The sequence below is a fragment of the Homo sapiens genome, chromosome 1 (genome assembly GCF_000001405.40).
Source record: "Homo sapiens chromosome 1, GRCh38.p14 Primary Assembly".
Taxonomy (NCBI): domain Eukaryota; kingdom Metazoa; phylum Chordata; class Mammalia; order Primates; family Hominidae; genus Homo; species Homo sapiens.
Window position 1 is genome coordinate 161,622,193 of NC_000001.11, and position 24,708 is coordinate 161,646,900.

At 43.3% G+C, this 24,708-nt stretch overlaps 1 protein-coding gene across 5 annotated transcripts, besides 3 other annotated features; it reads right to left on the minus strand.

Moving 5' to 3' along the window:
• FCGR3B (Fc gamma receptor IIIb) lies at positions 1,004 to 9,771 on the minus strand. 5 transcript variants are annotated; one of them, NM_000570.5, is made up of 6 exons: positions 9,694 to 9,771; positions 8,863 to 8,946; positions 8,176 to 8,196; positions 7,586 to 7,843; positions 3,953 to 4,210; positions 1,004 to 2,447 (listed from the first exon to the last, which is right to left on the minus strand). In NM_000570.5, exons 2-6 carry the CDS (start codon positions 8,900 to 8,902, stop codon positions 2,323 to 2,325), a joined length of 702 nt encoding a protein of 233 aa, NP_000561.3. In that variant the 5' UTR covers positions 8,903 to 8,946; positions 9,694 to 9,771; the 3' UTR covers positions 1,004 to 2,322. The 5 variants fall into 5 exon arrangements, with proteins under 5 accessions (NP_000561.3, NP_001257964.2, NP_001231682.2 ...); NM_001271035.2 differs by lacking the exon at positions 9,694 to 9,771 and having other exon boundaries at positions 7,586 to 7,840; positions 8,863 to 8,984; NM_001244753.2 differs by lacking the exon at positions 9,694 to 9,771 and having other exon boundaries at positions 8,863 to 8,984.
• Positions 2,447 to 2,741: an enhancer, noted in NCBI's record as "tiled region #4269; K562 Activating DNase matched - State 5:Enh". NCBI's record gives its function as "activates a minimal TATA promoter and a strong SV40 promoter by Sharpr-MPRA in K562 cells {active_cell/tissue: K562}" and the evidence as "EXISTENCE:reporter gene assay evidence [ECO:0000049][PMID:27701403]".
• Positions 2,518 to 2,710: a silencer, noted in NCBI's record as "fragment chr1:161594500-161594692 (GRCh37/hg19 assembly coordinates)". NCBI's record gives its function as "represses an EF-1alpha promoter that drives an FKBP-Casp9 reporter gene in an ReSE screen in HepG2 liver carcinoma cells and K562 erythroleukemia cells {active_cell/tissue: HepG2 | K562}" and the evidence as "EXISTENCE:reporter gene assay evidence [ECO:0000049][PMID:32094911]".
• Positions 16,169 to 16,358: a silencer, noted in NCBI's record as "fragment chr1:161608151-161608340 (GRCh37/hg19 assembly coordinates)". NCBI's record gives its function as "represses an EF-1alpha promoter that drives an FKBP-Casp9 reporter gene in an ReSE screen in K562 erythroleukemia cells {active_cell/tissue: K562}" and the evidence as "EXISTENCE:reporter gene assay evidence [ECO:0000049][PMID:32094911]".

Sequence of the window (24,708 nt, forward strand, 5' to 3'; positions counted from 1 at the left end):
TGCCAATTCTTGGAGAGTCGGCCTCCTAAATACCTTGTTGATTAAGCACCTTCCTCTCCAGCCTCACCGCCAGTTACTTCCTCATTGCTCCCTTTGGGTTATTGCATCCTGCCTTGCATGCCCTATCTGGTTTCCGGTCTTCAGCTCTCCTGTCCCGTCCATCCATCAAGTAGTTGCCAGAGAATCCTTCTAAAATACTATACGGTATAAACCTGGTCTGCTTAAACTCTCTCAATGTATTGCAGGGTCTGATACGATCTTCTTAGTTTGGAAGGTAATGCCCTTCATGATCTGGCCCTGAAACTCTTTCCTCTCCCTCACCGACACAGAACCAAACTGCTTTCTTGAACTCACACTCTGGCTTTTGAATCTTTGCCTATGAACCTTGGGCTTTTCTTCTCTTCTTTGCCTGGCGAACTCCTACTCATCCTTCATGACCACACCCCCCAAATCAAGCCTCTTTTCTGCAGCCCTTTCTTCATTCTCTTCCTATTTAACTGTTTTTCTCACTAGAAATAAAGCTTCTCCAGGGAATGACCCTGTGTTGTTCATCTGGTATCTTCAGCACCTGAACTCAAGCTTGCACATTGTAGGTAGTAAATAAATGTGAGTTGAATGTCCAAGGTTTCCAAATGCACCTGTGTCGTGTCGGAATCTTATGTAATATTTATGTATGTAATCTAGCTTGAATCGTCTTGGTATATAGCTCATAATTCATACAATCAGGCTGACCCTCTACCTCTGCCCAGGCCTCTACCTCCTGTGTAGCTGTGCCTTCTCCTATCTGCCCCAATGCTCTAAAACGATCTCTAATGCTTATTCACCCTCCTATCCCATACTTCCCATAAGAATCCCCCTTAGCCCAATTTTCTCAGCAAGATTTGGAAAGCAAGCTGGCTAATTCATATGAGTTGTGGTGAGATGGCTGCTGGGAGGAGGGGGTGTTTCTTACCAATCCAAACCAATCTCTGTTACAATGTTGGACAAAGGGAAGAAGAAAGAATTTTATCATTCATATTTTATTACCATGGTTTTGCCATCTTCTATCTAAGAGTAGCATGCAAGATCTTGTAAAATGCTTTATTGGAACCAAGAAATGTTGCACTGAAAGCTTACAAAACAGAGACAGCTAAAGCTTTCTTTCATAAGCAACAATTGTCTTCTCCATCCCCACCTCATTGGAACTGACATGAAGAAGGATTTGAAAGTTTCACAGCGTAACTCAGTGAAGCTCAGTAGTACATTTAGTATTGGTTATACAACATTTGTTTAATAAATGCAATGAACAAAGCTATACAGGAACTAGACATTGAAGCAGAAAAGGTGGTTTTACAGTCCCTGCATTAACCTCTAATTCTTACTACCCCGGCCAAGAAAGCATTTTCACCTCCTGCGCTTTCCTTCCTGTGTGCTTCTGGTTGGTTCTTTCTTCTCAGGCTTTCTCATTCTGATGCTGAGATAGTTCTGTTCACTTAGCTTAACTTGAGACAGTGACACAGGGTTTGTTCTGTACTTTCTTTTCCACCCCACCCCCACCCCAATCCTCAGTCCCCTTCCTAGGACCATTTTCTACTCCTAGCATTAGAGGACTCATCGTTATATACTTGGAAATGGTCCAGTTCTGATAGAGTCCCCTGGAAGACTCAATTCTACGTCACCCTCATGATTTCCTGTTAATTCCACTACGGCTAATGTTCTAGGAAGACACCCTTATCTCTGGGCTCAGATGGGAACACCTCCCTTAGACTATCCTGGACTACCCTGCTATTTCTCAGCCATGCTTTCATTGGTCCCACTGAATTCTCTAGATCCCCAGCAGTTCCCACACTCTGTAGGGTCCTGCCTCAACCATTAATTCTACTTATCCATTTGTTTAGGAATAATTATTTTCTTTTTTTCCCTCTAAACTGGGTAATTTATAATACGAGCAATTTTTGTATGTTTAAAGGATTACCATCCCTAGCCTGTATTGTTGCTTTGCTGTGAGGGAATGGTTGGGACAGAAAAAGTGTTTGTGTAGCTCTGAAACTTCAATTTCTAGGAATGCAGCTACTCACTGGGGCTTCCCTGCTTGAAGATCATGGGCTTTTCCCTTCCACTGGAGACCAAGGAAAAATCGAGAGTTGGATAAAGGATCTGGCTCTGAGTTCTATGTTTCCTGCTGCTTGTAGAGAGGCCTGAGGATGATGGGGTTGCAAATCCAGAGAAATGTTCAGAGATGCTGCTGCCACTGCTCTTATTACCCCCATGGGATGGGGGTCATGTGTCTTGAGGGTCCTTTCTCCATTTAAGTTTATGGTCCTTCCAGTCTCTTGTTGAGCTTCAAATGTTTGTCTTCACAGAGAAATATAGTCCTGTGTCCACTGCAAAAAGGAGTACCATCACCAAGCAGAAAGAGACTTGGTACCCAGGTGGAGAGAATGATGAGATGGTTGACACTGCCAAACCTATTAGGAGAAGTGGAGAGATGAAAAAAAATGACAGTCACTAAGGCAGATATTTGGAACAAACAGTGAGGTCACCAGTAGAGAGTCTTTGACAAGTGCCAACAGGCAAGTGGTAGGAATGGTGGGGAGGTCTGGGGGAAAGTATTGCTTCCTCCCATTGGTTCCTGATCTTAGTGCTATCTGAGCAGAGGACAGCTCACCAAACACTTAGCAAAGGCTCCTGCTTGTTTGACAGAGATGTGACAGGGAGCGTTAACAAGTTAGGTTGTAAGCTGGGTTTTGTGTGACAGTTAAGAAATTGTCAGACAATGCTATGGTCTAGAAACTGGGATAAATTTGTTGATTTTGCATTTCAATTTTTTAAACTCTTGATTTTGATATATTTCCAAACTTAAAAAAAATGACCAGAATAGTATAAAGAAATCTCGTATATCCTTTACCCAGATCCACTCATTGTTTACATGTTACCCCATTTGCTTTATTTGCTCTCTTTCCCTAACCACTTGGGAGTATTTACTTTCAGTTTAAAGTGTCATGAAATTATTTTTGTACAAATTATGGCATTGTGGTGTCAAAATCTCAAAAGGTGTTTTGCTGCCTTTCTACATGCAAATTGTTTACAATTTATGTCTTGGGCTAGTTACAGATAGAAGTTCTGTGAAACTGGAAAGTCCAGGCACACCACTCTAGAGCTCTGATTCTGGAGGCTGGTGCTATGGAACCTAGAGATGTTTTGTGGATGACTTAATGGGATCATAGGATATTAGTGCTTCTTCAAATCTTTTACTTACTGGTTAAATATACAGGCTTTGAAGTCTTTGATGTGACCTTAGGGGCAACTTATTTATTTATTTTTGCACCTCGGTTACTTCATCTGTAAAATGGAATATTACCTATCTCATGTTGTGAAGGTCTACTGTGGTAGTCAAACCAGGTGCATGTAAAGAATTGTTTAGCACAGAGTCTAGCACACTGAAAGGTGCCCAATAAATGTCAGCTTATTTTTGTTACGGAAGAAGAAATTGGGGTTCAGAGAGACTAAGTGGCTCACCTCTGGTCAGATGGTTAATTAGCTGCAGGGCCAGAACCCAGGTTCTGGGCTCTTTCTGTGAGGGGATGAGGGGCTCCTGCCAGTTTGGATCGTGGCTAAAAGGCTTGGATAAGAAGGAGGCCAGCACGATAGGAACATATGACACCGTGGGTGTGATTAGGGTAAGGAAAGACAGAGGTATTTATTGGGGAGGAGATGTGGCTTCTGCTCCTGCCATCATGCTGCAGAGTGAATGACACCTCCTAGCTACCCCAAAAGAATGGACTGAAACAGAGCTGCAAACCTACCCTGCAATCAGGGACTTTTGGGGACCTCCTGGTGATCACCAGGAGGGAACCACATATGAAGAAGTGCGTGTAAGAATCAGGAATCTCCTCCCAACTCAACTTCCCAGTGTGAGTGCAGGTTCCACACACAGGCGTCCCTGGGCATTCCAGGGTGGCACATGTCTCACCTTGAGTGATGGTGATGTTCACAGTCTCTGAAGACACATTTTTACTCCCAACAAGCCCCCTGCAGAAGTAGGAGCCGCTATCTTTGAGTGTGGCTTTTGGAATGTGGAAGTCAGAATTATGATGAAAATACTTCCTGTCTTTGCCATTCTGTAAATATGTGACCTTATGCAGAGCAGTGTTCTTCCAGCTGTGACACCTCAGGTGAATAGGGTCTTCCTCCTTGAACACCCACCGAGGGGCCTGGAGCAACAGCCAGCCTGAAAGACACAGAGACACCCCAGGCCCGGGAGGCCTCAGCTCTCAGTGCAGAGCTTTGTGAAGGGGCCACGTACCACCCAGATCCTGAGGCATAAGGGAAAGCCAGATTGGGAGTCAACCCTGCATAGCTCCCTTTGGGGAAGAGCTGATGGGGCCCTGCAAGAGAACTGAAGTCATACCAAGACCTTTGTCTAATGGGGAAGAGGGACACACACACATGTGATCAACACACAGGGTTAGAGCAGAGGGACTAAGCAATGAGGTAAGTGAGAAGCAACGATGAGCATATCTGCAGGATCCTTAAGTGCTAGACTTAGATTTGCTGTGGCAGGTGACAAGGATTCACAGTAAGTTCTAGATCAGAGTAAAAATTGCATTTGAAAATGATGAGTTGCTCTATTAGAGGAAAAGGTAGATTTCAGAAGGAATAGGCAATCAAAGGAATATTGAAAGACTCTTGTGGCCTTCAGGAATAAGCTGACGGTCGCCACAGAGTGGCTGCAGAAATTGTGAAGGAGAACTAACTCAATGTAAACATCAGGGTGGCGAAGGGCGGGACTGGTAGTGCTCAGAGTGGCAATTCGTGGTTTCTAAGGTGTCACAGGGCCTCGGTGAGACCAACTTTATTACTGAGCATGGCCTTCAAGAGAGGAAATTCTTATATCGCCAGAGCTTATTCTCACAATCATGTCACCAAGTAATCAGACTTCACAAAGAGAGAACATGAGGTCATGGTCGGGAAATGGCCTGAATAATTAAAAAAATAATGATGTTATAGGTAAGTATTATAATGGCATAAGAAAATATTCATGAGACAATGTTAAGTTAAAAAAGCATAATACTTCAAATATTTTAAAAAGTATTATGCACAGAAAAAAGAAGGATATGCACTTACATATTAACAGGGGTTTTCTCTGAAGGAGTGGGACCAAAGGACATTTTAAATTTCTCCTGTTTACTTTTATATATTTTTGAAATTGACCCGAAACGTAATAAGAGCAAAACTAAATTTACTGTAATTTTATTTTTTAAATCTACATTCTCAGGTTGAATTACTATAATTTTAAAAATCTACTACCTGATGCTAAACAAAATTGGTAGGACGTGTGTTGGTCATGATTCTCTAACACAAAGATTTGCCAAACAGAAAGTAATCTTCATTACCTATTAAGAGATATCATTTATCAAAAGAAGCCATGTGCCTATCTATCCACTTACTTTTTCAGCAAAGAGATGAATCATTATTAGCATAAAGTCATGGTTAGTATATAGTCTGGTGGCCTTTGGAGGAACATTCTTGTTCGAATCTGTCCTGTCATGGACTCAGTGAATGCCCATGTGTATATTCCTTCAAGTGATATTTCATCAAGCACTCACTATGTATGACACACTGTGGACTGGAGATACCCAGATGATGGGACATATAGTTCTCAGCCTCAAAGAATCTACAGCCTAGACATAGAAACATAAATATTCAGAAATAATCACAATACAATATGACGAGTGCTACAACAGGCTAAGAATAAAGGACTGCGGGGCCGACTAGATTGGAATAAAGAAATTCTGCCTGAAAGAAGTAAAAAATGCAGGCTGGGCGCGGTGGCTCACATCTGTAATCCTAGTACTTTGGGAGGCTGAAGTAGGCAGATCACGAGGTCAGGAGATCAAGACCATCCTGGCTAATGCCGTGAAACCCTGTCTCTACTAAAAATACAAAAAATTAGCCGGGCGTGGTGGCATGCACCTGTAGTCCCAGCTAGTTGGGAGGCTGAAGCAGGAGAATCGCTGGAACCAGGGAGGTGGAGGTTGCAGTGAACCAAGATTGCGCCACTGCACTCCAGCTTGGGTGACAGAGAGAAACTCTGTCTCAAAAACAAAAACAAAAACAAACAAACAAACAAAGAAGTAAAAAGTGCTTCTCAGAGGAGGACATAAGTGAAATGGGTCCTAAAGGAATAAAGGATGCTCAGAAGTTTACCTGGTGAAGCTAATTCTCATGGTCACAGTTTAATATAGCCTTGATTGGCTAGACTTCTAAAGCCAGTTTCTAGAGCCAAGTTCAAGGCAAACTAGTAACTCCTAGACTTGATTTTTCTATTGCTTTCTCTTGGTAATTCCCCCATTTTATTTGGTTGTAGGTGGACATCTCTTACCTAGCTAGAAATGGACATACCTTCTTGTAGCTCTGGAGAGTGAAGACCATGTCAGTTGAGTGGTAATGTCAGAGGCCAAAGAGCCACAAAAATCAGTTTCAGAGGCCCAATTCCATGGAGCTCTCTTGCAGATCCACCTCCTTATGCCCTTCTTCCCCCAAAGCTTGTTCCACCCATAAACATTGTATGAATGGAACAGCCGTGGAAGTAGAATTAGGTTTGCAGGGCGACACTGCAGGGACCAGGCTATGTGGTAAGATTGTAGGGACACCAGGAAAGACCCCTGCCTTCAAAATATTTCTCCTACCTGTGTCTGATGTCTATATTCTGTTAATAGTACACAAGGACTTTCATGTCATGATTAATGTGCAGGCTGAACATGTATCTGCCTCTATTGGAAGAGCTATCACATTACCAAATTTATGCTTAATTATAGGTTTGAGTATAGCATTGATGAGGAGACAGAAAGATATGATTCTAGGCCACTAGGATTGCTTTGGGAGGTGGCTTAGGGCATTACATGTCTGAGAGCGAGAAGGAGATTGAGGTCCTAACACCAAATTCATTAATTTATTCAATAAAAATTATTGGCCAGGTGTGGTGGCTCACGCCTGTAGTCCCAGCACTTTGGAAAGCCAAGACCGGTGAATCACCTGAGGTCAGGAGTTTGAGACCAGACTGACCAACATGGTGAAACCCTGTCTCTACTAAAAATACAAAAATTAGCTGGGCGTGGTGGCGGGTGCCTGTAATCTCAGCTACTCGGGAGGCTGAGGCTGGAGAATCACTACAACCCAAGGGGGCAGAAGTTGCAGTGAGCTCAGATTGCCGCATTGCACTCCAGCCTGGGTGAGAGAGTGATACTCTGTCTCAAAAAATAAAATTAAAAAAAATGAAAATAAATAAATAAATAACTATTATTGAGCATCTATGCCATGGCCTAACCTTCACATGACACATTCACATTGTATGCACTCCATATGGGGATTCTTGGAATTGTGCAATGCAGCAGCCTATATCTACTGTCTGACAGGCTTTGACATTTTGCCCAAGACCTACTTAGAGCTAGGACTACAACTCTGATACCATTCAGTGGGACCACACATCATCTCATCTTAGCTTTTATCTCTAAGAATATCATCTCTGGCTCTTACCAAGTATTTCAGGACCCTTTGTTTCACCCTTTATTGGTGATTTTCCTCTTCCCCTTCATCAACTCACCGATATGGACTTCTAGCTGCACCGGGTCACTGAGGGTGGAGAGGTTTGTCTGGCACCTGTACTCTCCACTGTCGTTGACTGTGGCAGCGTCAATGAAGTAGCTCGAGGCCTGGCTTGAGATGAGGTTCTCATTGTGAAACCACTGTGTGGAATTGTCCTCAGGGGAGTAGGCTCCCTGGCACTTCAGAGTCACACTGTCCTTCTCAAGCACGCTGTACCATTGAGGCTCCAGGAACACCACAGCCTTTGGGAGATCTTCTGAGGAGCCAAGATAATGTGGGGTGAGGACAGGGAGAGGAGCAGGCTCTACACTGCCATTCCCAGGGAGCCTCAAAGCCAGAATGAGCTCATTGCAAACCCATGCTTGGTGGCTCAGTCTTAGAGCATCTTGGCCCCATTTTTGGCCTGTTCAGTATCTTAAGGAAAGCTGGCCAGAGAAGCACAGGGCCAAGTTCTGCTGTGTTGGAGGAACTATCCCTGCTAACCCCACATCAGCATTTTCCCATTCAACAAGCATTTCCCAATATCTTATGGCCATTGTCCCCATATGTGCCCCACTGGGTCAATCCAAGACCATGAAGCTGACTCACCAGTCCGCATGCCAGCTGAAACTGCAAGAAAAAAGAGTAAATCAAATATTGAGTAGGGGCAGAGATCAGAGTGATTAGAACATAGAGTGAGTTTAAAACTCCCCTGCCCTCCTCTGCCCCAGGAGCCCAATTTTCCCAAGAATCAGGATGTTTCTGGTGGAAACCTTGCTACCTGCTCTCTGGTCTCCACTGTTCATGCCTCTTGCGCCACTGTCAACACAAATCCCTATTTTCAACACTGCTCCCTTACCCCTTGCTCCCTGTGCAAACTCACAAATTAAGGGTACAGGTTGAATTTCCCTGAACCAAGCTACAGAAAGAGCCTCAACCCATATCCCCACAAGAAAGGGTAGAAATTAAAAACCATAGAGGAGAACCCTGGAATGTCAAACTGAAAGAGACAGACCCTAGGGACCATCTAGTCGAAGCTCTTTGGTTCCACATAGTGATTCTGGGACCCAGAGGGGTGAAGTGACTGGCCTCACTCATGACTATGACCCAATTGGAACCAGCATTCTCCTCATTTCTAGCCCCATCTTGGCTTGTCCTGGTAGCTCAATCCACAGCTATAGATGTGGTGAGGGGTCCCATCCCTTTGTGGGAGTCTCATTCGTAGCCTGAAAAGGGGTGTCTGATGAACCCAAGGCATCTCAAACTTCTCCCTCAACCAGGGAGATCCTGACTTACCTAGAAGTAGCAGAGCAGTTGGGAGGAGCAGCTGCCACATGATGCCACACTGGAGTGGACAAGTCACCAAAGATATCCGGAGCCCTAAAGGGACCAAGCCGACTAGACAGGAGGGAGTAAACAGCCTTTCCCCAGTCCCTCCACCCATCTCTGTCACCTGCCAGTTTCCTTTTCTTGAAACTTCATCTGATTTCTCAATCTGAAGTCTCGCAATGGAGCCCCACCATAGAACAGGAATAGGAAGGAAAGAGCCTGGAGGCAAGGTGGGTGGGTGTGCCCCCTTTACTCTCCCAAAGGTCTGCGGCTGAGCATCTGAGGACACACACAGAATCTGCCAGAGTGTGCCCTCAGCTTTCCCAGGATGCTTGCCCCCATCTCCTGGATTTAGATCCACCCAGCACCAAGAATGGGACAGCAAGACCCTGGGGATGAGATTCAAGGTGGGAGGAGCATTCTCTGAGGGCTTCCTGCATTTCACCTCAGAACTTCTCACTCTCCTGCCTCGTCCAGACCCATCTATCTCCAGCCGAGGCCCTGCCTGCACACAGAAAGTTGTCCTTTCAAATCTTTGACCACTAGCAGTGTCTCTGCCTCAATATTATCTCCACGCAGAATTTCTTTCAAAATTCAAAATTCAAAATCTATATGCTCCTGGGATATGTAATCCACAGGAGCTGACTTTTTAGTGTGATTTGATCATTAGATTTCCAGGTTAGAAGAAACCCAGGTAGGGTAGAGAAATGGGCCCTGGAAGAACAAGTCACCAGTGAAAGGCTGAAAAGATCACAGAAAAGGTGGGGGTGGGGAGGGGTGAGGACAGGAACTCTTTACCTTCCTCGTGTTACCCAGGTCCTGCGGATTTAGCTCAGGCCCCTCCGGGCCACTGGATCTGGGCTGGTCTGTCAGCCTAGGATCCAGGGCTCCAGGGCTCCAGGGCTCCTTACCAGAAAAGGTGGAGGGGGGTGGCCAGGAAGTGGGAGGGTTGTTAACCTCTTCTCTTCTCTCCAGATTCTCCCCCGTAACCCCATGTTGGTTACTCTCACAATGGTCCAGGTCCCAGGCAGAAAATCAGATGACTCTGCTTGATAGTGCCACTCCCCCAGTGGATTCGTGGACATCTGGGACAGGTCTCACTTGGCTTAGAAAAGCCCAGGAGGCGAGCAGCAGGCCCGTGTGGGCACCTGATACTTGTTAGGGGTGGAGTGGAGGCAGGGGCTGACACAGGTGCCCGCCAACCTTTGCTATAAATGAATGCTCTTTCTACTCCAGAATGACCTAAAAACCACTACTCAGGTTTTGTTTTTTATTTGTGTGTTTCATTTGGCTCCTGGGTGGAGTTAATTGATCCTCCCATTGCCATCCACGTACCCACCCCTCCCCCTGCCACACACAGAGTCTTGCAGCAGCCCCTTCTCCACAGGCCCTTGGATTGGACAACAGAAATGAACCCAGGCCGCCATTCCAGTTCTCCTTCTCAAGTGACTCATCTACGCCTTGCAAAATCCAGACAAGTATCTGGAAACTTGAAGTTCCTTGCTGTAGCACTTCAGATGCTCATCTGGGAAACCTAAAGCAGAAACAAAGCCTTCAGGGCTAAGGATGGTCTCTGAGGCAAAAAGCGGATATCCCTCAATTCTTTCTTCTTTTCAGATATCCAGGTGGCTTTCTGCCACGTGACTTCTGATGCAAGGCCTTCACTTTGTTTTCCTTCTTTGAGGTCTTATTTTCTTATTTGACTCCTCTTTGGTCTGTGACTCTCCAATGGAGGGAGGAATTCTTAGCTGCCAAAAGGGTGGGCTAGATAGGAAGAAGAGGAGAGAGCACAGGAGGAGAGAAAGGGACTGCAACAGGATGGGAAGCTTTCAGGGGGTTTTCATTAAGTGGTTGTTGAACAATTCTCGAATTGAGTGTTGTTGGGTTTGTAAGGGTTAATTTTACAGTAATGGATAAAATGCAAAATTTTGGCCTATGGTGGCTTATTGTAATCCCAGCACTTTGGAAGGCCAATGTGAGGTGGAAGAATTGCTTGAGGCCAGGAATTTGAGACCAGCCTAGGCAACATAGAAAGACCCCATCTCTACTAATATAGTAATAATAATAATAGCCAGATGTGGTGGTGCATGCCTGTAGTCCCAGTTACCCAGGAGGCTGAGGCAGGAGGATTGCTTGAGCCCCGGAGTTAGAGGCTACAGTGAGTTATGTTCATGGCACTGCACTCTAGCCTGGGCGACAGAGTGAGACCCTGACTCTTGGGGGGGAAAAAAAAGAGCAAAATTTTTACAAAAGGGTAGATGGTCTTGGGATATCATATACTGAAGTGTTTATCTTCATGTTTGCTTTTCTTTCTTCTCCTTCCCTTTTTCTTCCTTCCCCTCCTCTTCTCTCCTTTTCTCATTGGAAGGCCAGGCACAGCAGAAGTTTCTGACTATGGAATTCAGTCGATTGTCATCCTCTAGGACTTACAGTTTCTTAGGGGGAGAACATCAGATAAGTATTTGAAGTGCTAGAGGGACTGTGACAGTATTTATGAAATGCTGTGTATGCACAAAGAAGACAGTGGCTAATTCTATCTGAGGGAGGAGTGTACATGGAAGAGAGAACACTTTAATTAGATCGCAAAATATTCAGCAGGAAGATTTTTGAGAGAAATAGGCATTCCAGGCAAGAGGAGCAGCATGAGCAAAGACTTGGAGTGAAGTAGACTGTCATGTTTGCAGAGCTGGCTGTAGTTCCACAAGTGTAGTTGGATGTAGTTCCACAAGTGTAGTGAGTACTACAAAGGAGAAGCACAGGTTCCAAAAGGATTAAGATGTCTGGGTCTCACATGAATCTGGAGGAAATCCCAACTCTGCCACTTATTTAACCTTCTAGCCCTCAGTTTCCTTATCTGTAAAGTGAGGCTAACAATAATGGCACTCATGGCTTAAATGAGATAATGCAGATAAAATTGTTGGTTCCATATTTGGTACCACACCTGCTGATTACTATTGTAAGTGCAAGATGGGAGGTTGAGACCTTCCTCAATTTTCTAAATTAGGTTCTGACCCCCAACCCCACCCCAGCTCCTTTCGGAGCTTGTGCTTCTCCTCTGTAAACTCATTGCATTTGTGGACTGAAAGGTCTTGGAGAGCAGGGAACCTGTTCACCTTGTTTACCCCTGTACCCTCAACATTTAGCACAAGGGCAGGCACATACTAGGCACTCAATTAGTATTTATCACGAAGAGTTTTGTGTGTCAGGATGAACAGTACATATTTTATTCTAAAAGGTAATGGGAACTAATAAAAAGGCTTTAGACTGGGGAATCACAAGATCTGTTTTATATTTTATGAAAAGTACTCTGACAGCAGTCCAAGGAATGAGTTAGAGGGGAGAGAGATGGAAGGTGGAGGGAAAAGTTAGAAGATTATTTCAACAGTCTAGTTGAGACAAGAGCCACTCTGTTTAAAAAGTGGATATGCAATGGAAGCATCCAGGAGAGAAGTTAGGAAGGAAGGATGGACAAGACTTGGTGAGTGATTGGCTGAGGGGTGATGAAGGGGGAGAGGTCTGGGTGATGCTCGGATTTCTAATTTGGGTGATAAGGAGGATGGCAGTAGCTTTCATGGACAAAAGAAAAATGGGAAGATGAGCAGGCTTTGGGAGGGAGAGACAATAATTTCAGCTTTTGATGTTATTGAGTTTGAGGTAGCTGTGAAGGTTTCAGGTGAAGATTTCCAGTAGGCAGTGAGACACATGGCCCTGGAACTCAGAAGACAGGTCTTGACAAAAGACACAATTTAGGAGGCACCAACACGGTTGAGGTTTCAAACCTCTGATAAAAACCTTTGGGCCTTCTCCCAAGAAAGGATGCAAATATACACATTATGTTTCCTTTAATTTAAGAAGCTCTATTTGAATCCATCCAGAGATCCTAGGTTAAGATAAAGTAAGGATAAGATCTCTGAAACTGTAAGAGTATTGAGAGAGAATTAAAGGGAAACAGTGAGGGAAAGGAAGGAGGGATTGAGAGGGAGAGGAGAAGAGGAGAGAGTCAATGACAGAAACTTGACATGCAAACATTTTTGAAGCGTGCACAGGAAAAATAGCTGACAAAGGAGTTTGTATAGGAGGGGCTGAAGAGGAGGGAACAAGGAAGTTTAGTGGGAACAGATCTTCAAGGAAGGAGTAGTCAACAATAACACTATTAATGTGTAGAAATAATTCAAACAAGAGTTTGATTGAAATATGGCAATCAAGGAACTATTAATGACCTTTTCCTGAGCAATTTCAGGGGCTGGGGCTGAGAAACAGAAGTTTGACAGCTTTTGGTTGAAGACGGAGTAGGAATGAAATAGTGTTTAGTGAAGTGCTTCTCCTCTTCAGAATCTCCATTATGAAGGAATAGTGCACATATCATCTGGCTGTCCAGGATCACTTCCTCCTCCCCTTCTTATTAGCATATCATTCTTCCTGGAGAAGCCCCACTGTGAGTACTTAATAGAAAGCAGTGATTGCTTTCTACTATGGAAACCCGAGGGTCCAGATCTTCCTTTTCCCCACTTTGGGGCACTATTAAGGACTAAATTGTGTCTCTCCCAGTTCATATATTGAAGTCCACATGTGGAACTCCCTATACCTCAGGATGTGACTATATGTGGATATAGAGCCTTTAAAGAGGTAATTAAGTTAAAATAAAATCATTAGGTGGGCTCTAGTCCAATATGACTGATGTCCTTATTAGTTGGGACACAGACCCATACAGGGAGAAGATGGACACCTACAAGCCAAGGAGAGAGGCCTCAGAAGAAACCAACCCTATGGACTCAAAGGGAGAACAACAGACACACTGGGGCCTACTTGAAGGTGGAGGGTAGGAAGAGGGAGAGGATCGGAAAAAATAACTATTGAGTAACTAGGCTTAGTACATGGGTGATGAAATAATGTGTGCAACAAACCCCCGTGATAGGAGTTTACCTATGTAGCAAACCTGCACGCGTACCCCTAAATCTAAAATAAAAGTTTTTTTAAAAAATTAAAAGAAACCAACCCTGTCAACACCTTGGTCTTGGACTTGCAGCCTCAAGAACTGTAAGAAAATACATTTTTGTTGTTTAAGCCACCCAGTCTGTGGTACTTTGTTATAAAAGTGCTAGCTAACTGATACAGGCAGACAGAGGACAGGCATATAACTGAGGTTTGGCCCATTAGAGTCTCTTCTGAGATGAATCCTGAATAAGAGACACTTGTTTACTCATAAGGGAGATTCACTTCTAGGAGAGGGAGATGGTTGGGTCCCAGTCATCACAGCAGTGGGATGGGCTGACCTCCTCTAGTTTCCATCCAATAAATTTGTTTCCTCTACTTAAAAGATCTGGATTCTGATAAAGTTGTTTATAACCCAGAGCCCTAAGTGACACAATAAGAAAGGAGAAGTGGAGGATGGTAACTAGACAGAGCTGATTCATCAAGACAGGAGAATTGCAATAGAGAAAGAGTAATTCATGCAGAGCTGACTGAGCCAGAGACTGGAGTTTTATTATCACTCAAATCAGTCTTCCAGAGTATTCGGGGAGCAGAGTTTTTAAGGACAACTTGGTTGGTGGAGGGGAAGCCAGTGAGCCAGGAGTGTTGATTGGTCAGGGATGAAATCACAGGAAGTTGAAGCTGTCTTCTTGTTCTGAGTCAGTTCCTGGGTGGGCACCACAAGATCAGATGAGCCAGTTTATTGATCTGGGTGTTGCCAGGTGATCCATCAAGTGCAGGGTCTGCAAAATATCTCAAGCACCGATCTTAGGATCAGTGCTTAGGGAGGGTCAGAATCTTGTAGCCTCCACCTGCATGATTCCTAAACCATAATTTCCAATCTTGTGGCTAATGTTAGTCCTACAAAGACAATCTAGTCTTCAGAAAAAAAGGAGGTCTGCCCTGGGAAAGGGCTGTTATCATCTTTGCTTTAAACCACAAACTATAAACTAAGTTTCTCCCAAAGTTAGTTCAGCCTATGCCCAAGAATGAGGAAAGACAGCTTGGAGGTTAGAAGCAAGATGGAGTCAATTAAGTTAGATCTCTCTCACTGTTTCAGACACAATTCTGCAAAGGTAGTTTCAAGAGAATGGGAGTTTTTGTTTTCCTTAAGTGAAAGATACAAGCTTGGTTATAGGTCTTTGGGAAGAAGCCAGCAGGGTGGGAGAAGTTGGATGCCTAACAGGGACGGAATACCTAGAGAAGCAAGTGTGGGTCCTGAGGAGATGGAAATGGGACATGGACAGGGAGTTGGCTGTGAACTGGATACGGATTACCTCTCGCTCTGAGCTGAAGGCAGGGGCTGAGGGGGTACATATGCAAATCCATTTTCAGATGTTGAGTGACCATCCACATCTGCTGGTCCTGATTTTCTTGGTTAAGGAGGAGTCAAAGACACCTGTCGAGAAAGAGTGGGTAACAGTTGTGGTGGGGGTTTGAGAACACCAGAGTTGAGAATGGCCATTGTGGTGCATGGGAGAAGGAGCCGACTGTTTGTATGTACAAGAATTACCAAGAATTCCAAACAATTGTAAGGATTGCCAAGCAATGCCAAGGGCCCACCTGAGGTGGGTCACTATGGATTTGTAGCTGGATCAGTCTTCAGTGCTGGTAACATTTCTCCAGTTGTACTCAGTGCCAACTGCTGTCTGATTAGCCTGCTGAAAACAGTCCTGAGCAGGAGTGGAGGGAGGTCCTACAACCTGTATTACCTCCAAAGCAGCTCAACCAGACTGAGGAAATGCTAGAATGAAGGTATGTGGGCTTTCAGTGAGCTCATCCAAGACAAGTAGTCAGGAAGGCTGTGAGAAAGGTAGGCTGGCCTGGCAGTCTTTGGTATAGTCCAGCAGTTGAGTTCCAGTTACCTATTGCTGTAACTGTAGAAAAAACAAACTCAGTTCCTCCCACTATGCTCTCACAACACATTTCTGACAACAGATATGTGGGGATTTCTCTCCACTGGCAAGCAAGCAAGCAAGCAATTCAGCAGTGGGCACCAACTGGGTGTCTTCTAATCCAGTGGTCCCCAAAATTTTTGGCACCAGGGATTGGCTTCATGGAAGACAATTTTTCCTCGGACAGGGGTAGGGGGGTGGGGGATGGTTTCAGGATGATTCAAGTGCATTACATTTATTGTGCACTTCATTTCTATTATTATTACAGTGTAATATTTAATGAAGTAATTATACAACTTACCATAATGTAGAATCAGGGGGAGCCCCGAGCTTGTTTTCTTGCAACTAGACAGTCCCATCTAGGGTGATGGGAGACAATGCCAGGTCATCAGGCACTAGATTCTCATAAGGAGAACGCAACCTAGATCCCTTGCATGCGTACTTCACAATAGGGTTCATGCTCCTGTGATAATTTAATGCCACAGCTGATCTGACAGGAGGAGGAGCTCAGGCGGTGATGTGAGCCATGGGGATCTACTGTAAATACAGATAAAGCTTTGCTCCCCACCTGCCCCTCACTTCCTGCTGTGCAGCCCAGTTCCTAAGAGGTCACTGACAACTACAAATCTGGGGATTGGGACTTCTGCTCGAATTCAATTGAATTCCAACACTATCTAACTGGAAATAGCATCAGGTGACACAAGTGAAGGGCTCAGTCTCACAAGACACTTCTGATATTGCAGGGTGAAGCCCCAGGTTGTTTTATCTGTGCTTTTGACCAACCAGTTATAAATGGGGGTTCCCACCACCTGCATCTTGGGTTCAATTAATTTGCTAGAGTGGCTCTCAGTACTCAGGGAAACATTTACATTTATCAGTTTGTGATAAAGAATATTACAAAGGACACAAGTAAAGAGTACATAGGGCAAGACCTGTGGGAAGGGGCTTGGAGCTTCCATGCCCTCTGGTGCACTACCCTCCAAGAACCTCTCTGTGTTCGGCTCTCTGGAGGATCTCCAAACCCTGTCCTTTTGGGTTTTTATGGGAGCTTTATTACTTAGGAATGATTAATTAAATCATTGGCTATTGGTGATCAATTCAACCTTCAGCCCCTCTCCACTTCCCAGAGGGAGTTTGGAGGGTGGAGCTGAAAGCCCCAATCCTCTGACCTTGCCATGATCTTTCTTGTGCCCAGCCCCTGTTATGAAGCTACCTAAGAGCTGCCAGCCATCAGTTACCTCATTAGCACACCAAAAGACATCACTTTGGAGATTCTAAGGATTTTAGGAGTTGTATGCCAGGAAAAAGGATGAAGACTGTATAAAGGACCCTTGACATAACTAACTCCATCTTAGAAAAAGACTCCATTTTATATTTCATAGGGCATTTGGCCAACAAGATAAAATGTTCTAAGAAACAAATTAAAAATGATAAAGACTGCAGCCGACCAAATAAGGCCACAGACAAGCACACTCTTCCAACTTTCAGTTCTTATCACAGGACTCCATGACTAAAAGAGAAGGCCTTCAGCAGCTTGAAATGGCTATCTTAGCTGACACTGTCTTGCAGTCACTCATGATGATAATTTGGCATCTGCCACTGAAGGCTCTGCCACCTCAGACTCTTCTTTGCAAGACCAACGGGTAGCCAGGCCCAGACCAGGACTCCTTTGGTCTTCTTAGATCCTCATCAACAGGCTTATTAACCCTTTCTCCTGTCTCTTTTCCCTCTTGATGTTAAATAGTACTTAGTTTGTTGTGGAACGTTTAACCTATAACATTTATGTAAATGTTATAGGTAGAGAGGATTGCCATATTTGGGAGAGAGGGTCTCTCTCTCTCTCTCCCACTGGACGTGAACAAGGGCTCATTTTGTCCTAAGGTCTTGCTGGCAGCTATCCTTAAGACTTTATAACATTTAGGAGCTATACAGCTTCTCTTTCTGCTGTATTCTAATCACCAGAAGTTATAAGCCCACCCAGATTCAAGGGTAGAGGATGTAGGCCTCATTTCTTGATGGAGAGAGTGTCAAAGAATTTGCAGCCGTGTTTTAGTGCTGCCACAACTAGCTACTCTAATACACTTTAAAGATTTCTTGATTCTTCGGTGGTGTGATTAGAGTAAAATCCTGAAAAATAGAAAGGCCTGGGGGAAGGGGAGACTGTAAGATCTAGGGAAGGGAAAATTTTTTATCCTATTCTAAGAACAATCACAGGAAGAAGGGAGGTAGTTGGTACTAACTAGAAAGAAGCAAGTCAGACAGACATTATCCATTCATCCCCTCCCAGGTCCAAGAGTTTGCTTACGATTATAAACAGCAAGAAGACTGTATTTCGTGATGCTCTCTTAGCTCAGGGCTACAGAGCAATGCTGTTGTATGTAGGAAAGAATGATTTCTTGAACTTGAATCCACAGTAGGTTCTGAGTTTTTTCCAACTCAACAATTGCTATGCTCAGTTAACTCAACAAATAGAATATGATGTACTAGCCTGATATCCATCCCTCTCCCTCCCTTCTAATATAACCTTGATTCTATTCAGGAATCACCCTCATATGCAGAGGTGGATCTTGACTGATCTAAGCCACTCAGGGTGTAGCATTCCCCTGGCTTTTATTGGTTAAGTGGGAGAAGACGGAACTTTGTCCTAAATAGGGCCAATCTGGTAGAGGGGAGTGCCATGTTTGGGAGAGATGATCTCTCTCTCCCACTGTACATGAACAAGGGCTCATTTTGTCCTAGGTTCTGCTGGCAAAACCTAAGATTTTGAAGGCAGCCAGTCTGAGGTCAATGCCAAAAAATCAAGGAGGACAGAGTGGAGGGATAGAATATGGTCTTGGTGACATCACTGAGCTTCTAACGCAACCAACCCAGATTTCTTACAATTTCAAGTAAATTTCCCTGCTGTTTAAGCCAATTTAAGTCAGGGCTTGTTACCTTCATCCAAAGGCATCCTAGTGAATACCTTGGTATTTACTGAGTACCTACTAAAAGGATAAGAAACTCTTTTTCTGGAAGGAGCTAATAATGAACAGGGGAGGAAACTTGACATTTAATGAAGAAGAAAGAAATGCTGACATGGAGACCAGGAGCTCTAGACCTAGCTATGTCACCCAGGGTGACCACCAATTAAATTGTCTAGATCTCAGTCTCTACAATCATGAAATGAGAAAGTGGAGTGTGGACTGTATGTTTGCTAAGATCTCCTCTGGCTAAATTACTGTGTTTTAATGTCAACTAGAGGAAATATGACGCCCCCACTTTTTTTTTTTGGTAAGCATCAGTGGTCCACAAAGAATTTAACAATTGGTACCAACAGAGAGGCAAAAAATACCTTTTTTTTTTTTTTTTAGACAAAGCCTCACTCTGTCGCCAAGGCTGGAGTGCAGTGGCATGATCTCGGCTCACTGCAATCTCTGCCTCCCGGGTACAAGCGATTCTCCTGTCTCAGCCTCCCAAGTAGCTGGGATTACAGGCATATGCCCCCATGCCCAGCTAATTTTTGTATTTTTAGTAGACACGGGTTTTCACCATGTTGGCCAGGCTGGTCTCGAACTCCTGACCTCAGGTGATCCACCCATCTCGGCCTCCCAAAGTGCTGGGATTACAGGTGTGAGCCACTGGGCCTGGCCAAGAAGGAATATAATTGCCTTTTAAGAAAATATTCTGCTTGCTTTCTTTTTTAGAGATGAGGTCTCACTGTGTCAGCCAGGCTGGGTTAAAAAACTCCTGGACTCAAGCAGTCCTTCTGCCTCAGCCTCCTGAGTAGCCAGCACTACTGCCTGGCTTCTACTTGCTTATTTTAATATTAATAACAAAATATAGTTAGCTCTGAGCTTTAAATACAATAGATATCAAAATTATTTAATAAAAAATATTCATGGTCCCAGCATGGTGGCTCATACCTGTAATCCCAGCACATTGGGAGGCTGAGGCAGGAGCATTGCTTGAGGCCAGGAGTTCAACACCAGTCTGGGCAACCTGGCAAAACCCCATCTCTTAAAAAAATTCAAAATAAGCCAGGCCTGGGGCTACATGCCTGTGGTCCCAGCTACTTGGGAGGCTGAGGCGGGAGGATCACTTGAGCCTGGGAAGTGGAGGTTGCAGTGAACTGTGATCGTGCAACTGCACTCCAGCCTGGGCAACAGAGCGATACCCCGTCTCAAAACAAAACAAAACAAAATATTCACCATTATGTGTCTAGTAAAGTGAAGAAAAGAAATAGGAAAGGAAACTGTCAATATAAAAGAAAAGGGAGGAGAACAGGCAGAGTTAGAGACATAAAGACACAAAATGGGATGGGACTTAGAGGAAAACCAGTGAGAGAAAACTCAGAAAGACACAGTTACTGGGACAGTAAAAAACAAAACAAAACAAAACCCCACAAAAAACTGAGAGAGACACCCAGGTTTACAAATATGGTGTCTTAAAAATAGATGGAAAATGCATGAAGAGCAAGGCATCTACTGAGAGATCTGGAAACAGACACACCTCGAGATACATCATACAAAGGCAGTCATGGGACAAGGAGAGAACACTTTCACAAAACCAGGAAGAGATAGACAGACAACAAGGGAAAAAAAGCACATGGGATTGAAGCAGATTTTGTGGGATGACCTTAAGCTGCACCTGTTGGCGTTGGCTGTGGTTATTAAAATAATATGACCTGCTGACATACAAGAACTTTCCAAAATTTTATGCTATAGCCAAGAGTGAGTTTTAAATGCCCTGCCTTGTGCTATCTCACATCAGAACATGCTTAGATGCCTCCCAGACTTGCAAGTTTTTAAAGTTTCAAAAAGAGAGTGATGGCGATGTGTTATGGGAAGGATACTGGTCAAGGAGGAAGGAAATCTCAGTTTTGGTTTCAGTCTAACAGGGGTCAGTTGTCAAGCCACTTCTCTTCCCTAAACTTGTTTCCTCATAGCAAAGTGAGGTAATTGGGCTAGATTATATCTAACTCTTTCCATCTTAAATATTCTCTAATTCTGAATGTTGCCTTCCAGTGGTAGTTTCTAGATATTGCAGAATGTAGTAGCCTTTGTCTTCTAAAAATCCTAATGAAGGCAGCTTTTGGGAGCCAAAAGGATTTTCTAGCAGAGCTAGCAAATTATACTTCTAAGAGTTAAAAGTTAATTATAAAAACTAAATTCATGCTTCTGCTCATGTGCAAAATCTTCAGAATCTACCAGAACAATACAAGGTAACACCAAAAAGAAAACTTAGTTTTTGAAAAAGTTTTTGAAAAAGAAGTGGAAATACTGTTTTGTGTTGTTCTGTTTTTAATCCGTGCCATCCCACTGGAGAAGAGAGAAAGGTTGGCAACATCATTGGGAGTATGAGCAGAGCTCAGAACCATCCCTAGAGACTCAGTCCTTGTCCCTTTCACCAATATTTTGTTATTGTGGCTTTAAGCACTTTTTGGTTTGAAAATACACGCGTGATCTATATATGTTCTTGTTGCAAATAAGTGAAACAATTCGGACGTAAATAAAATAAAAGTAACAGTGAGATTTAATGACTCCCTCCCCCAATTTCACTCCCTTCCTCAGAGGTAACCCCTTAGAAGCTTGTAGTATATCTTTCCAGAACTTTCCCCATACACTTATATTCATATAAGCACACATCCACCTTTATGTATTTATATTTTGCTCATTTCTGTAGTTATTGTTAGCATATTACATAATGCATATTCTTCTGCAACTTCCTTTTTTATAATGATTCCACATATACATAAACACCATGTTGTTTCACCATGTTGGCCAGCTGGTCTCGAACAACTGCAAACTCCACTCAACATCTTTCACATTTCACATTAAATGGGAGGAGAAATGCTTAAAAAATGTATTTGAGGGTGTGTGGAAAGGAAGAAATGGTATTACTTTGACTTTCTTTTTTTTTTAAAAGATTTGGGTCATTTTGGCCACCAAAACAGGAACTTTATCCTGTATGGGCAGTTGCCTACTGCACAGCCATTTCTTCCCTTCTTCTTTGCTAACGGAACTTGATTTCGTTTAGCAATGTTGTGGTCATGAGCTGTAGAGAAGCCTAGACCTTTTCCAGCCTCAGTGTGTGAACTTTCGGTTAGTCTAAACCAGTGGTTCTCAAATTTGAGCTACATCAGAGCCATTTGGAGGGCTTGTTAAAAACACAACTTGGTGAGCTCTACTCTACCCTCCGAGTTTCTGATTCTGGTGGGGCTTGAGAATGTGCATTTCTAATAAGTTTCCAGGTAATGCTGATCTTGGTACAAGGACCACACTTTGAGAACTGCTGCTCTAAGCCAATTATGGTGTTCTATTGTCTTGCCATGCTTAGGACTAAGCATATGATACAGTTCTGGACAATTAATCCTCAGGGATAATCTGCTAGAGGGATTCTGGGACTCAGGAAGTAACGAGTTCTTTCTCAGTCTTTGGACATGGTGATGCTTAAAGATGTGATGCTGGGAGCTACTACGGCAGCCAACTTGCTTCCAGAGAAGACTGGCTGACATGCTGAGAGTAGCAAAGCAAAGAGAGGGAAGAATCTGGGTTACTGATGACATTATTGTAGATTAAACAGCTCTGGAGCTGCCCTAACTTCAAGAAACTTAATATGTGAGATAGTAAAACATTTATTATTATTTAAGCCATTTGAGCAGAATTTTCTGTACTTGCTTCAGAAAGCCACCTAACTGATTCATTCATACCCTTCTCTCTCAGTGCTCAGAGAGACTCCAGCTGATGTAGCAGCAGAGCAATTTACTTTAAGCATGATTTTGGATATTTTAGGTTGTTTCTAATTTTCATTATCATTCAGTAGCTCTGCAAAGAGTAACAATGCTTTTGTATATTTTGGGATATTTCCAAAGGTCATTTTCCCAGAAGCAAAATTACAATGTCATAAGTATATGAATTTCCAAGGTTTTGATAGTTTTTCCAAATCTCTTTCCAAAACAATTGTTTTAATTTCTACCCTATTCAGAAATATATGCAAGTTCATTTAATCACGTCCTTTTTTCTTAATTGTGGGCAATTTCATAGCTGAGAAATGGGGTCTCATAATTTTTATTTGCATTTATTTGATTACTAGTGTGGAGTCAACATTTACCATGTGTCTGTCAACCAGTTGCATTTCCTCTTTCATGTTGCTATTAGATGGAAAGCACTTAGCACCATGTCTGGCCCTCTTGGATATTTATTTTTTGTTTAACTAAATGTTTTTGGGTTTCTCTATTGATATCCCTGCCTTTGCCTATTTATCAAAACTCTATGTTCTTCTCATTAATTTCTTATGTAATAAAAATACCCCTTTGCAGGGAGACATGAATTTTTACACATTTTTTTTTCCAGTTTGCAGTTAGTAGTTTGTTTTTGGTTGGTTTTAGTTTTGTATCATTCCGAAATTTAAAAGTTTCATGAAGTTCTTTTCTTTTCTTTCTTTCTTTTTTTGTTTTTTTCTGAGACAGAGTCTCATTCTGTTGCCCAGGCTGGAGTGCAGTGGCATGATCTCCGCTCGCTGCAACCTTTGACTCACCTCCTGGGTTCAAGTGAGCACGTTAGGCTAATTTTTGTATTTTCAGTAGGGACAGGGTTTCACCGTGTTGGCCAGCTGGTCTCGAACTTCTGACCTCATGTGATCCACCTGCCTCGGCCTCCCAAAGTGCTAGGATTACAGGCATGAGCCATCACGCCTGGTCTCTTTTCTTTCCTTCTTTTTTTTTTTTTCCTCTATTTTTTCCTAAGCTTAGAAATCTTTCTTCCTTCAGAGAATTTACTCAAGATTCAATTCTATTATCCTCTTGTGTATCCATAGCTTGATTCATGTGTTTCACTCTATGATCCTTATGAAACAGATTTGCTTGTATTCTGAGAGGAGCTGTCTGCTTAACAACTTGCCTGGCTCGAGGGGCTTACTAATGCCTTTTAGCTCCCTGCTTTTTGACTCTCTTTACAACTCTCCTTAGAACCCAACAAAAAGAGATATAAAATAAGTGACATAAAAATGTGAAGTGCTTAAACCATTTATTTTACATTGCTGACTTTTTTCCATGTATCTTTCCTTTCTGATTAGTACTTAAAATCAAGGCAGAAGCACCTTAAAGATAGAAATGGCTAAATATTCTTGAACCTTTCAATCGTAGGATGCCAGAACAGGCCTCTAGCGTAGAAAATGTCTATACTGAGATCAAAGAGTCTCCCCTAGAGCAGAGTTTGTTGTATTCTGAGTATGAGGAGAGTAGGACAGTGTGATGAAGCTGCAGTGGAGTAAATGGTTTTTGGTATCACAGTGCTTTACAGAACACATTAAGGAGTTTGGGTTTTGTCGTGAGGGTGTGGGGAGCCACTGAATTATTTGAAGCAGGAAAGTGACATAATATAATTTGTACTTTAACAAAATTACTCTGGTTGCTGCTTGTAAATAGGCTGGAGGAGTAAGACTGGGAGCAGAAAGATGAGTTGGTCTCTTGCGGTAGTCATGGTGGCAGATGAAGATAGCCTCAGGCTAAGGTAATGGTGGTGGGGTTGAGATATTTAGCAAGAAGAACCGGCACAATTGGATGTGGGTTATGAAAGAGAATGTGGGAATCACAATGATATCCAGATTCCTGCTTTAGGAGGTGCCATTCCCTGAGGTGGGGAATATGATGGAAAGAAGCTTAGCTGGAAGGGGTTGGGGAGAGATGGTAAGTTCAGGTTTGGATATTCTGCGTTTGAGGTGCCTGTGGACATAGCAGGAGAGTGGTCAATATCAGCTGGGTAACTGGAAGGAGAAATCTGGGCTAGAGCTAGAGACACAGACTGGAGCTGAATTGTGCTTTTAGAAAATTAACTGGAAGCCAAAGAGATGACTCCTTATTTGCTGATACCTTGCAGCAGGTCTATTTCCAGTGACAAGGAGGCAAGTTTGAATTGGTTAGAGCCTCATTCACAGTTCTTCAAATGTTCTTGTCAAGTATTTACTTGCT